The sequence below is a fragment of the Homo sapiens genome, chromosome 9 (genome assembly GCF_000001405.40).
Source record: "Homo sapiens chromosome 9, GRCh38.p14 Primary Assembly".
NCBI lineage: Eukaryota > Metazoa > Chordata > Mammalia > Primates > Hominidae > Homo > Homo sapiens.
In genome coordinates, this window is record NC_000009.12 from 42,001,856 (window position 1) to 42,015,742 (window position 13,887).

Sequence of the window (13,887 nt, forward strand, 5' to 3'; positions counted from 1 at the left end):
GAGCCACATTTTCTAGTACACTAGAGTATATACTGTGTGGGCTTGAATCCTGACTCCATCCTGGAAAAGTTACATAGCCTCTCTCTGCCTCAGTCTACTCATAAGTGAAGTGAGAACACATACACTCCTCTCTCACAAGATCGTTGTGAGGGTTAAATGAGTTAGTATTTGTACTTTTACAACAGTGCTGGGCACATGGGGTACCTTCAGTGAACGACTGCTTCATTATTATTGTCAGGGCACTGGGCAGAAAAAGAGGTGGAAATGAGTTTAAAATAGCACATAGGGGATATATAGGAAAGTAGACAGCTTAAAATGATAGCAGATTTAATTTTTGAAGGACCTAGGAAATCTTCAGTTTCCACCAGGAAAAAGAGATTTACAACCATTCATCCACACTTACACAGCTCCTTCTCTGCCAGCCAGCTTGTTCCTGGGCTGACTCACTTCAATCACTGGTAACCTAAATCTTACTCAGAAGTATTAATATATCTATCTCATTTTCTTGTGTTAGAGGACCACGAGAGTTTTTAAATGATACTTGAAGATTATTGGTGCAATTATAATGTTTTTGTCACACTTCCTCAAAGAATACCGGAAAAACTAAGGACAGATATGTTCACAAAGTTCCCAAATACGAATTCTTGCAGATAAAGAACTTTGTCATACAAGGAAGAACTGTGTCAGAAGTAATTTTGCTAAAATGTGTTATGTCCTCATTCATACAGCTAATATTCACTGAAAGCCTTCCATATGCAGGTGAAAGATAAAAATGCAGAAGACAATGAATTACTTTTAAGGATCCCACAGTATGGAAAAGAGGACATATAATCCTGAAATATGATTGTTTCTGCCACATTCACAGTGATGCTTCTGTAAACAGGCATCTGGTCCAGAATGACTTCTAAGAAAGGATAAGGAAGGAGTCTACCTTCTTTAGACTCCTGCAAAGTATGACGCTTCTGAAAAGCTAAGACATAAGTAATTTTGAGTTGCTATTTCCTTTATTTCCTTACGCCATATTTTATCTTCACATTTTACTTTTATTAGAAACAGAGACTCACTCCGTTGCCCATGCTGTAGTGCAGTGGTACCTTCATAGCTCACTGCAGCCTTGAACTCCTGGGCTCAAGTGATCCTCCAGCCTCAGCCTCCCAAGTAGCTGGGATTATAGGCATGCACTACAATGCCTGGTTAATTTTTTACTTTTTTTCTAGAGATGGGGGTCTCACTATGATGCCAAGGCTGGTCTTGAATTCCTGGGCTCAAGCAATCTGCCCACCTCAGCTTCACAAAGTGCTGGGATTACAGGCATAAGCCACCCCGCCTGGCCTACTTTCACATTTTTCACACCCAGAATGTACTCTTAAATCTGGCTTCTCATTACTACTTTTCTACTTCTCACTGTCATTCTAAGCACAGGCATGTCTCATCCCCATCCTACCTTGTACTGCCTTTTCAGGGGAAACATCAACATTGAGAGGAAAACATTGCTTGAAAACAGCAAGATTCCATAGGGTGCAAACACTGATGTCTTACAAAAGAAAAAAAAAAAAACACGATTCCACAGAAATTTTCTTAAAGTGTTCTATCAATCACCTTCACTCAGATTGACTAGGAGTGACCACTTGGAGACTTTAGAACGTGAGCCTCAACCAGACCAGGAATCAGGATTTCTGTGGTTGAGACCCAGGGGTTTGCATATTTAATAAGCTAACTAGGTAGCTGTGATGACACAAAGGCTTCAGGATGATTTATCAGGGATAATGGGCAAATTACAGAGGTTTACTCTCTAAATAAATTGAATATTAATTCCAATATGGGGTGAGGCACAGTGGCTCACACTGTAATCCTAGCACTTTAGGAGGCAAAGGCAGGTGGATCATTTGAGGTCAGGAGTTCAAGACCAGCCTGGGCAACATGGTAAAATTTCTACTAAAAATACAAAAAAATCAGCTGGGTGTAGTGGTGCATGCCTGTGATCTCAGCTACTCAGGAGGCTGAGGTGGGAGAATAGCTTGAACCCAGGAGGCAGAGGTTGCAGTGAGCCAGGATTGCTCCACTGCACTCCAGCCTGGGCAACAGAGAGAGACTCCCTCTCAAAAAAACAACAACAAAACCCACAATTGCCAATATGGAAACATGAATATCATTTTCATAGAGTTATAATTTATATTCAATAAATTTAAGGTTATAGTTCAATGAGTTTTAACAAATATATATACCTACGTTATTGCCAAAGAATCAAGGTGTAGGCAATTTCATATCAACTCACTAATTGCCATTTGCATCAAACTCCCAACACTGTCACCGAGACCCAGACCCAGACCCAGGAAACCAATGATCTACATTCCGTAACTACAGATTAGTTTTGTCAGTTCCAAAATTTCATAAAATTGTATCGTGTATGTGTTCTTTTGTGTCTGAGTTCCTTGCTAAGTGTAACATTTTTGAGATACACACATGCTGTTGCATATATCAACAGTCTGTTCTTTCTTATTGCTTGGGGTATTCAACTGTTTGACAACTTGTTTATCCATTTACCTGCTGATAGACATTTGAACTGTTTCCAGGTTTAAACTCTTATAAATAAAGCTGCTAGGAACATTCACACATACATCTTTATGTTGACATATGCATTCATTTCTGCTGGGTAAATACATGGGAGTGGAATTGCTGAGCTATATATTAAGTGTATATTTAGCTTAGAAGAATGCCAAATTGTTTTCCAAAGTGATAGTATCATTTTCACATTTCCCACCAGCAATGTATGAGAATTCCATATCTTTGCCAAACACTTGGTGTTTCCACCCTTTTTAATTTTAGCCTTTCTGCTAGGTGTATAGTGGTTTCTCATTGTGATTTTATTTCTCTAAAGACTAGTGACGATTCATTTTAATATAATAATAAGTTAGAATAGATGTATTGGGATTCTGTAGATCAATTCGGGGAGGATGATAAGAATATTGAATCCTGCAATCGATGAATACACAAAGCTTTCCTAGGAAATATTTGCCTTTATTCACTCACATATTTTCTTTCCTTCTGGGCATAATAAGAGGAACTTAGGGAAAACAGGCCTTGGTTCTGCATTCTCAGTAAAGGCCTTGATCTCTATCTTTAATTTTCATGCATGATCTTTCCTCTCTATTTCTTTTCTTTCCTCTCTCTTTTCTCCTTCTCCCATTTCCTGGTAAAGATAGTTGATTGCACAGAGTCTGGAATCCTCTGTGAGTAGGTTCACATTCCAATTCTTCAACTTACTTATTTCTGATGGACATGGATTTACTTTTTCATCTTATTTTGAGTTTCTATTTATTTTACTTTTTTATTACAAATTTTTATTTTTTTTGAGACAAGGTCTCACTCTGCCACGCAGGCTGGAGTACAGTGGCATGATCTTGGCTCACTGCAGCCTTGACCTCACTGGGATCAAGCGACCCTCACACCTCAGCCTACTGAGTAGCTGGGACTACAGGCACACATCACCATGTCCAGATAATTTTTGTATTTTTTGTAGAGATGGAGTTTTGCTGTGTTGCCCAGACTGGGCAATCAAGTAATCTGCCTGCCTTGGCCTCCTAAAGTCCTGGGATTACAGGCATGAGCCACTGTGACCGGCTTTATTTATTTTTAAAAAATATTTATTGAAATTTAATTAGCACTTCAGTGTTTTACAGAAAAATAATTTTCCAAAATATTAAGTAGATTGTATTATAAACACATTATTATATGAAAAAATTATATACACTTTGTTTTCTTCAATACATTTCCCATGGCATTAAAAGAAATGCAGTTAGTTATATTTTCAGTTATGACAAGCAAACATTCAGAAGACTACACTTCCTACCAAGGACAAGTAGAAAATGTGTACCAAGTAAAGTTTAAATAATCTTCTTGAAAGTTTTAAAGATCTACTATGACTGCCAGGACTCAAGAATGTAAAGATCTTAGAAGACAAGCTCAGAACACTCTTTCTGCTTTTACCCTTGAAGCACTGGTCAACTCCCAAGGAGCAATGGGCAAGAGACAAGGTGGCCAAGCAGAAAGTGACAGGACAGCTATGAGGCTGGGTCACGAAGCAGGGGTCTCTGTAGACTCATCACAATTAGGAGTCAGATGGCAGAATTCAGAGATTTTCAAAAAAATGTTTTGGCAAAGGCCTTCAAATCTCAGTTGGGACTAGTGAAGCACTGTACTCCAGATATAAGATATCAACTAGGTCTCATGGGGACTGAGACGCTGCACTGAGTCAGTTAAATGCTGATTTGAATTAACAACTGTGCCTAACCTAGAAGCCTATCAGAGGCTGTGGTGGGGATTCACTGGGGGATCACTTTGTCTTCTCTAGCCTCTACAAATTTCTGTCCAACATGTCCAGAATTCAGCCAAAATTATCAGACATCAAAACGGAAACAAAAACCAGACAATGGAAAAGATCAAGAGATAATCCAGATATTGAAGTTAACGAAAAATCTTTAAAATAACTGTAATTAATATTTCCAGGAAAATAGAGAGCAAGATAAGGAGTTTCACTAGGATACATGAACAGAAATTCCCAAACTGAAAATCGCAATAACTAAAATTAATAGCTCACTGGCATATTCAACAACAGATTGGTCACAGCAGAAGATCTGATTAGTAGTATAGAAGATAAAGCAGTACACAATGTCTAGACTGCAGCATAAATAGAAAGAAAAGATGAAAGAGGAGAGGGAGAGAGAGAAGCAGGAGGAGGGAGAAAGAGAGAGACAAAGAAAGAAAATAAGATACAAACATCTCAGACAGATGTAATTGGAGTCTCAGAAAGGAGGAAAGGAAATGCGAGACAGAGGCAATATTTTGAAGAAGTAACAGTGAAGAATTACCCAATCTAATAATCAATGCACAGAAAAAAGAAATTTAGTGAAATCCAAAGAGGACAAATTCAGTGAAAACTAAAATAGCCACATCAAGGCAAAACTGCTGAAAATCAAAGACAAAGAATAAATTCTCAAAAGTAACCAGAAGAAAAATACACATTTCCCTTATAGGATAAAAATCAATTACCTATTGATTTCTTAATAAATATCATGAAAACAATAGAATGCCATCTTTAAAAGGCCGAAAGAAAATAACTACAGACCGTATTCTCCAGCAAGCTGAAACAGCCTTCAGAAGTTCACATAAAATAAAGACAATTTTCAAGCAAACAAAAGCTATATGACAATTTATTACCAGTAGAACTGGGCTAAGACAAATATTAAAAGGAGTCTTTCTAGCTGAAAGAATTTGATTCAGAAAGAGCATGAAAATGCAGAGAAAGTAAATATGTGAGTAGATTCAAGTGAATACTGATTGCAAACAAAATTATATTAAATTTTGTGATTAAAAATATATGTACACATATACACATGTATGTATGAAACTAAAATGTGTCAACATAGCACACATGGTGGGAAGAGTTTAACTAAACTAACATAAGTTGTACTTACATCCTAGGATTGTTTGGAAAGTGATAAAAGTAGTAGCTCAAGTACCTGGGGGAACAAAATTAGAACAGCAAACAATAGTGGAAAAACTGGAAAAATTAAACTTGATTAACCCAAAAGAAGAGGAGAGAAAAAGGAGTATAAAACAAGTGAACCAAATATAAAACAGAGAGTAACATGTCAGCTACAATTTCACATATGTCAGTAATTACATTTAATATAAGTGGACTAAATATAACAACTAAAACTCAATGATTTCCAGATTCGGTTTAAATAATAAAGAAAGAGTCCTTACATATGAAGACAAAAAGTTTGAAAGTAAAGAATGGAAAAAGTTATTCCATGAAAACACTAATCAGAAGAAATCCGGCATAGCTATACAGTACTATCATCAGAGAATGCAGACTTACATGCAGGAGGCATTATTAGAAATAAACAAGGATATTTCATAATTACAAAAAATCAACTTTAAGGGAGATAAAACAATTCCCAATCTATATGCATTTAATGAAACAGCTTCAAAATATGTAAAGCATGTATCTCTTTTCATTTTACTGGAATTCATAGTTCAGGCATGCTTATTAATGGTAGACACAAAGGAGGACAGTAGGTACACTGTAGAGTTGACTCTGCCTACCACTAGCCAAAGGAAGTCACTGGCTGGCTCAAAAATCAGGGGGCAGGGAAGCATACGCCACTCACACGTACTGGCAAGGAACAGGTGCAGAATTGGTGCCAGTGATGCAAACTAGCACAGCGTGTATATATAAAAGTGATAAAACAATTAAAGGAACTTTACAGAGGTAGGTAGTTCTAACTTCATTAGAACACCAATGAAGAAATACAAACTTGGACCATCTCAGGAGTTATGAAAATTTCCCATGTCTCAAATTCTAATCAAGGACAGGTAAAATTTTGGAAGGGAGAAAATAAAATTTGCTTTTGTCCAGTCACTATTTGTTCTATTTGTTTTGTTTTACCGGAAACCTCCACTTGCCATCTGTTGTTCCTACAGAAAACAGTACAGCACTCAGTTAATCCAGATGAAGCTGCTAATATTCAACTGTATTTGATCTACAAAACTGGCAAATATATGGTTCAACCAATTATAAGTGAAGCTAGAATGATGAATAAGAAAAGGACTGATTGGTAATAGCATAGCTATGTAAGACAGTCTGAATGACATATAAAACTATTTGAAGACTAAGTTATAAGAAAATGTAACAGAAAATGCATGAATAAAGAATTACCTGTGAGTAATAAAAAATGATTTTCACTTGGGACATTATAAAAGAAATCTTCGTGAAAAGAACATTTTAGAATTCTGTTAATTATCTCGGCTGTGCTCCAAGTATTAAAATTTTAAAAAGGAATCCACCACTCCCAGACCCCCTCCCCCACCAAATTTTCCGCCACTAAGGGACCAAAAAAGTGGTGAACCAAGCTCTTCTTGGTTATTTATGAAGTCAACCTTGAATACTAACCATTTTCTTTTTTCTTCATGAATTATTGCCGTGACTTACAAAGGAATAGAAGCCCAATCTCAGTTTAACAGAAACATGAATCAGACAAAAGCCATGTTTGAGTGTTATCTAATGAAAATACTGAAACACTAGCATGGAGTGGAATGTAAGCCCTTAAAATCTGCACTAGCGGACTGGGAATTAAAGAGATGGAAAGGATACTAACCACTTGAGAAAACAACAAGAAGAGGACTGTTCTATTTTTTGCATTAATATCAAAGAAAGTGGAGTGATTTAAAGAACTCTGAAATTGAGGATAATTAAAGCTGGCATGATAAAAAGGAGGAAGGCACAGAATCAAAAACTAAATGTTTATATACAATACAATGCAGCTTGATGCTGTCTCTCTGAAAGTAGAAAAGAAGCTGCCGCCATCAATCAATATAGCAATATATCAAAACAAGTATCAATATAATGATCCTTTATGAAACCTCGGCAGTTATTATCCATCAAGAACATGGAATTGGTAGTCAGAGGACTGGAGTCCTCTCCCTGTCTCTGGTGACTATTTGTAGCTCCTGCACTGCCGGCCCTTGGTGTGGCTTCTCAGATTGCTCACTTGGAACATCTGGGTGTTAATAACTGCCTTTCTACTACATAAAGATGCATCAAATATCAGATGGAAGAATGGAAACATAACTGTAAAACCTTATATTCGCTATTTTTACTAGAGTTATTACAATTTTTAATACTACACTTTATAACAATATAATCTCCAAGATACCTGCCTTACCTGGATGGCTAGTATAAGAGAGAAATAAATATCTGAAATTTAGATTCATTATTCAGATTTTATTATCATCTGTCAGACTTTTTTTCTGAATTGCTTCATTCATTCATTCACTCAATGCAAAGCTATGGTGCACTTAGTATGTTCCTGGCTCTGTATTAGGTGCTGATGTTACAGCAATGAATGTACCTTACCCTAGTGTAGCCTGAAGGCTAATGAGGAAAAAGGAAATTAGGCCTCTAATAAGACAGATACAGATACATTATAAAAAGTGACTATAGCACATGAAGTCATACTATAGGCTTCCTGGGAACTTATAATGAGGAACCAAATGTAGAGTGAGGGCCTAGGAAGCATCATTTAAACTAAGATCCAAAAGAGGAAGAGTAAATAGCCAGTCAAGAACATAGGGAAGGAGCATTTCAAGCAGGGGAGACCACAGGCGTAAAGGCTTTGAGTCAGTAAAAAGCTGGATACAATTGACAGTGGACAGGTAGCAGGTGACGGCAGCAAGAGGTGGCACTGGAGAGTTATTCAGGGACAAGCTCCTTCAGGCCTTGCTGGGAGTCTGGATGTTGTTTTAGGAACAATGGAAAGCCACTGATGGTATTAAACAGGGACGTAATTGTATCAGTTCTGCATTTTTAAAAGGTAACTTGAGTTGCAGTGTGGAGAATATAATGTAGTCAGCTATGAACAGAGACAGAATGACCCAAACTTGGAAGGCAATTTCCATAATCTGTGGGACACCAAGTTTAGATTAAGTCGGTAGTAGAGCTAAAGAGAGCTGAAATCATGCAAGGTGTAATTTGGAGGGAAGAATACAGAATTTCGTGACTCACTGGACATGGAGGGCAAGAGAGATAGATGCGTCAAGGACTTATAGGGTTCTGGCCTAAGATTCTGGGAGTTCCCCTTTGTTCTTGAGAGATGCCCTCAAAGGCCTGGACAGGCAGTAGAGCATAGGGAATTTATTTTTCTGTCTAAGGCCTCTGGGAAACAATCCTAGTGTCTTGGGTGTGGCTTTAAGCATGTTTCAACAATCGAGTTTGAACAATCGAATGTGCATGTTTTTCCAGGAATCATCCTGATTATTGTGTGGACTAAAAACTGGAAAGATCAAGACCAGAGACAAATAGCTGATTTAGGAGGCTGGTGCTCATTTAGGCTAAACTGGAGGAAGAGAAAGAAATTCAAAACATTTAGGAGATAGAATCAGGTTTCAGTCAATAGGTGGCTGTTGGTATCATTTTATAAGATGGAAAACAAAGGAAAATGAGCAGATAGACAACTGAGTTTTAAGTGCTCACAGGGCCAGTGAAGAGAGGTTGGTACCAGAGGTTGGAACTCCTCAGAGTAGGTTGCGGATACGTCTATTTGGAAGTTATCAGCCACAGTGTGTAAATGCTACTGAAAACTCATGGAAGTGGATAAAAGACTCAGAGAGAGCTTGGGAGCAGGATAAAAGACCTACAACCAATCTGTGGATAATGTTAGCCTTTAAGGAGTGGCAAGAAGAGTAGCATGCAAAGGTGCATGGAAAACCAGGAGAATACAGCTGTCAAGAAGGGCCCGAGGCCATCTGTGCTCATGGCTTTATTCTGCAGTTGAGCAGCAACTCTGGGAGAACCTACAACCTATCCCCAGGCTAGAAGTGGAAATAGAAATAAATGCATAGAGTAAGCCAGGAGTCTGTGAAAACACACACAGTTTAAAGGAATAATGAATCTATTACTGTAAATGAAGTGTAGAAAAGCTAATAACACTAGGGCTGGGCAGTCCCAGCTACTCAGGAGGCTGAGGTAGAGGATCGATGGAGCCCAGGGGTGCACTATGATGATCAGGTGTCTGAACAAATTTTAGCATCAAATGGTGATCTCTCCGAGCGGAGGACCATCAGGTTGCTTAAGGAAGAGTGAACTAGCCCTGCTCCCAAATGAAGCAGGTCAAGACTCCCGTGCTGATCAGCAGTGGGATTGTGCCTGTAGCCACTGCACTCCAGCCTGGGCAACATAATGAGAACTTGCCTCTTAAAATAAAAAAAGATAAATTGATAAATACATAAACAAATAAATGGGAAGAGATGCTGCGTGGAAGGGATATTATAAGTCATTATAAGCAACGTTCTAGAAAACAAGCAGGGCAGTGGAAATACAAAGGAAAATACTGAAACTACCATTATTAACATAAGTCATAAAGGGTTGTATTACTGTCAACAACAAAAATAAAATCACCATACTTGAACAATTATTCTTCTAAGGAAAAAAAGACAATGTAGATGTCCACTTGTTCTAAAGAATTACTTTTAGCTAGTTAGCAGTGGTCACATATTATCTGTCTGCATGTTTGGGTTTTTTTACTAGTAGTCCCTTACAGCCAACAGCATGTGTTTACAGAAGTTAACGGTGCCAGCAGATTGCATGGCAGCTGCACCGCCCACCGGCCCTTCCTGGAATCAGGCACAGGGCTTTGATCTTCCTGGTACCAACCTCCAGCCCAAGGAACTGGAGTAATATCTCTTCATGAAGGAACATCAAGCTAATGGCAAATCGCCATCAAAGAGCATGTTCCACTTTGGAGTCAGTAAACCTGAAGTTGTTTCAGAGTAATGAGAGGAGAAGGTAACTTCACAGCATCAAAGAGAAATTCTAAATATCAGACATCTTAGCCATTGAAACAGAGAGCACAGTTATAGGTCCCAGAAAACACAGGGATGGAAGGAGATGAACAATAACAGGAAGAAAAAAGACCGTTGGTAAAGCAACATCATTATATTTAGCCCTGTAGAAATGTAAACACTAAAAAACAAGCAGAGTTAGGAAATGAACTGGGTTGTACAGGGGTTATGTAATAAAATGGAAATAATAGTATCTGAGACATTAAATGCTGCATGAATGACAGACGTTGTTATCATGCTTTAGAAAATTAATATTCTGCAGGGCTAAAGCTGTGAGTAGGCAGAGAATGGGAGTGACTGTGTGTAAATAGTGTGATATGAACATCCGGCCGGACCCAAATTGAAGCCACTTAAGACATTTCCATCCAGACTGCTCTTTGACTTGTTCTCCAGTTTTATACAGGAGTATTTTTCAATTTTATTCCATTTTGACAATAATTTAAAACATTTTTATGATAATGTAAAGAAAGAATACAAGTATGTTCTAGATCATCAAGTGGCAACTGTGTCACTGAGTACCACCAAATAATCTCACGGCCGGCTTTTTGTTTGTGTTATATTCATGTCGGCCCCATCCTTTCCACTTTTATAACAAAGAATAGGTGAGAAAAGAGGCTAACTAAACACAGGTTCCCACCAAGTGAAGATCAAGTGAAGCGACAGCATGGTGTGCAAAAGAGGACGTTAGCAGAGAAAAACACAGAGAACCAAGAGATTGCGAGAAATCACACCCTGCCCCCAGTACAGCTCCTGTTTTCCCAGACAGCGTGTCATCTCAGCTTCAGAAAAACAGCATCATCTGTTGTTAGTTTGAATTGTATTCGTTTCATCAGATGCCTACCATATTGCAAGTACTTTGCTAAACTCTGGGAATCTAAAGACAGGTAAGTTTCAGTTCAGGTCCACCACTAAATTCAACTATAAAAGACAGTAACTAAAGTTCATATTGTCATGGGGAGACACTAGAGTGTTTCAATAAAAACCAGTTCTGCTTGCCCAGCTATATAAAAAGACAGAAAAAGTCAAGTTCAACATTTCATGCCGACATTGGCTTTTACAGTTTGGCTTTGACAGAATCTCATGCTGACCTTGATTTCACACAGGGAATAAAGGCCACTTACTATATGCACATCCGTACACTTCGATCCGCATCCCAATCCTGCCCCTGGGGTTCCAGGCTAAAGGGAGAAAGCGCAGGAACCTGGCTTCAAAGGGAGGCTGGAGTCTGTAGTGCACCACACTGTCTGCGTTTGTGTTTCCTGGAAAACCCTAGGAGAAAACAGAGAAAGGGATCAATGTATCTGCAGGATGCACCATCTTCATGTCGTCACCTCTCATGGCAATGAGCAATGTATGCTCGCTTTGCTAATATGCAAAAAGCTGCTGTTTTAAAGGAAACACTGCTAATGGTTAACAAGGATGTGACAACCTCTCCAGTCCCTGAATTCGTCACCATTGTCTACGTTTTTTTATTTACAAGGTAGTTTAAATTTCATCCACATCATTAAAATGACTATAAACATGGCAACCTCTATGAAGTTCACTTTTCTAAAATGCTATCCCACAGATTCCTCCCTAATCAAGTGGTAAAGATGCTCACAAAAAGCCACATCACATGGCAGGGCAATCGAGCACCACGGTAACATGCAAAGGATCTGCAGTGAGAATCCTGGAATCTGCAATTAGAGAGTTGGAAGGGACCTAGACATGATTCCAGCCCCACACCCTTAATTTATAAATGAAAAACTACAGTCTAGGAAGAAGAAAGGACACTCTGGATGTAGGACAGCTATCATAGAGTGTGGGCAGGATTACATCTGGCTTTTATTTCAATGGCATCATTGATTCCATGTTATCAGGCTGAATCCACTTCACAGTGAACACAGCTCCATGCACCTGTGGCCTGCTTCCTGGGGGTGTCAAGAGGAGCACACTGCCACTATCTGCTCCAGGACAAAGGGGCTTTCACTCTTCACTCCATCTTGCTATCTGAACATTGGGAAGGATCAGAGTGCAAAGCAAACAAAATTGTTTTAGATATTTTTTCATTGTTTTCAGATTTTTAAGAATATGGCATGTGTGAGAACAAGGAAAGGGTTAATGCTCTTTTGCACTAGAAGTGCTATCACCTAACATGACTGGGGCACATAGTTAATATTTATGTATGGAACAGGCCAGCAGTTAGTTCAACCAAGAATGAAGAATGTCTCCTGCCTAATTATTTTGCTGTACTAAAGAATGTACCAGGCTTAGGGCCAGCGCGTTGGCTCACGCCTGTAATCCCAGTACTTTGGGAGGCCAAGTCGGACAGATCACGAGGTCAGGAGATCGAGATCATCCTGGCTAACACGGTGAAACCCTGTCTCTACTAAAAATACAAAAAAATTAGCCGGGCATGGTGGTGGGCCCCTGTAGTCCCAGCTACTCAGGAGGCTGAGGCAGAAGAATGGTGTGAACCCGGGAGGTGGAGCTTGCAGTGAGCCGAGATCGTGCCACTGCACTCCAGCCTGGGCAACAGAGGTAGACTCCGTCACAAAAAAAAAAAAAAAAAAAGAATGTACCAGGCTTAACAACAAAACGAAGAGAATAAAGATCAGCCTGCCTCATATCCAACCACCAATGGGTGTCCCTGGGTATAAACACATGGAAATAAAAATATAGGAAATGCCTTAGTGAATGTGGTCAATTTTAAATGCTAGTGTTGATGTCAGACTTGGTAACAGTTCGTCTATTGCTAATTCATGCCAGTTCCAAGAGAATCATTTCACCTTTTTTTTTTTTTTTTTTTTCTGAGACAGGTTCTCACTTTGTCTTCCAGGCTGGAATGCAGTGGTGCGATCTAGACTCACTGCAACCTCTGCCTCCCAGATTTAAGCAATTCTCCTGCCTCAGCCTGCCCAGTAGCTGGCATTCCAAGAGCATGCCACCACACCTGGCTAATTTTTGTATTTTTAGTAGAGACGGGGTTTTGCCATGTTAGCCAGGCTGGTTTCGAACCCCCAGCCTCAAGTAATTTGCCCACCTGGGCCTCCCAAAATGCTAGGATTACAGTCATTAAGCCACCATGCCCAGCCAGAGATAATCATTTCACTCTTGTTCCAACTAAAGGGTCATGTACATCAACATTTTTTGAGTTAACAATCGCTATACAAACTTCAGGTAAATATTTGCACAACCTCTGCACTCACAACCTTCTGTCTGGACAGCCCAGGCTGACCTATATAAAATAAGCCATATCCCAGCTCCACCACCTCAAACCCTGCTACTCTGCTGCAAGCTGCGGTTTCTTCATCTGTAAAACTGATCTTGAAGGGCCAGAGTACTAATTGAGATAACACCTGGAAATCAATCAGCCCACCACCTGCGTGGAGGTGGCTGCTGTGACTGTGACCCAGGTTGGTCATTGTTGGCATGGTTGGTAGAGATGGTTGATCCATCCTTTTATTTTGGTTCTAATTTGGGTTTAATATCTAAGACATACAGCCA

The 13,887-nt window shown here is 39.2% G+C and overlaps 1 protein-coding gene and 1 pseudogene across 1 annotated transcript in view; one reads left to right on the plus strand and one right to left on the minus strand.

The window, feature by feature from the left end:
* CNTNAP3B (contactin associated protein family member 3B) overlaps positions 1–13,887 on the minus strand; it is a 238,891-nt gene that overhangs the window by 111,320 nt on the left and 113,684 nt on the right. Inside the window, exon 4 of the mRNA NM_001201380.3 lies at positions 11,523–11,670. Within this exon, the coding sequence (NP_001188309.2) occupies positions 11,523–11,670 (148 nt within the window). The remainder of the gene's footprint in view (positions 1–11,522; positions 11,671–13,887) is intronic.
* RN7SL343P (RNA, 7SL, cytoplasmic 343, pseudogene) lies at positions 9,495–9,755 on the plus strand (annotated as a pseudogene).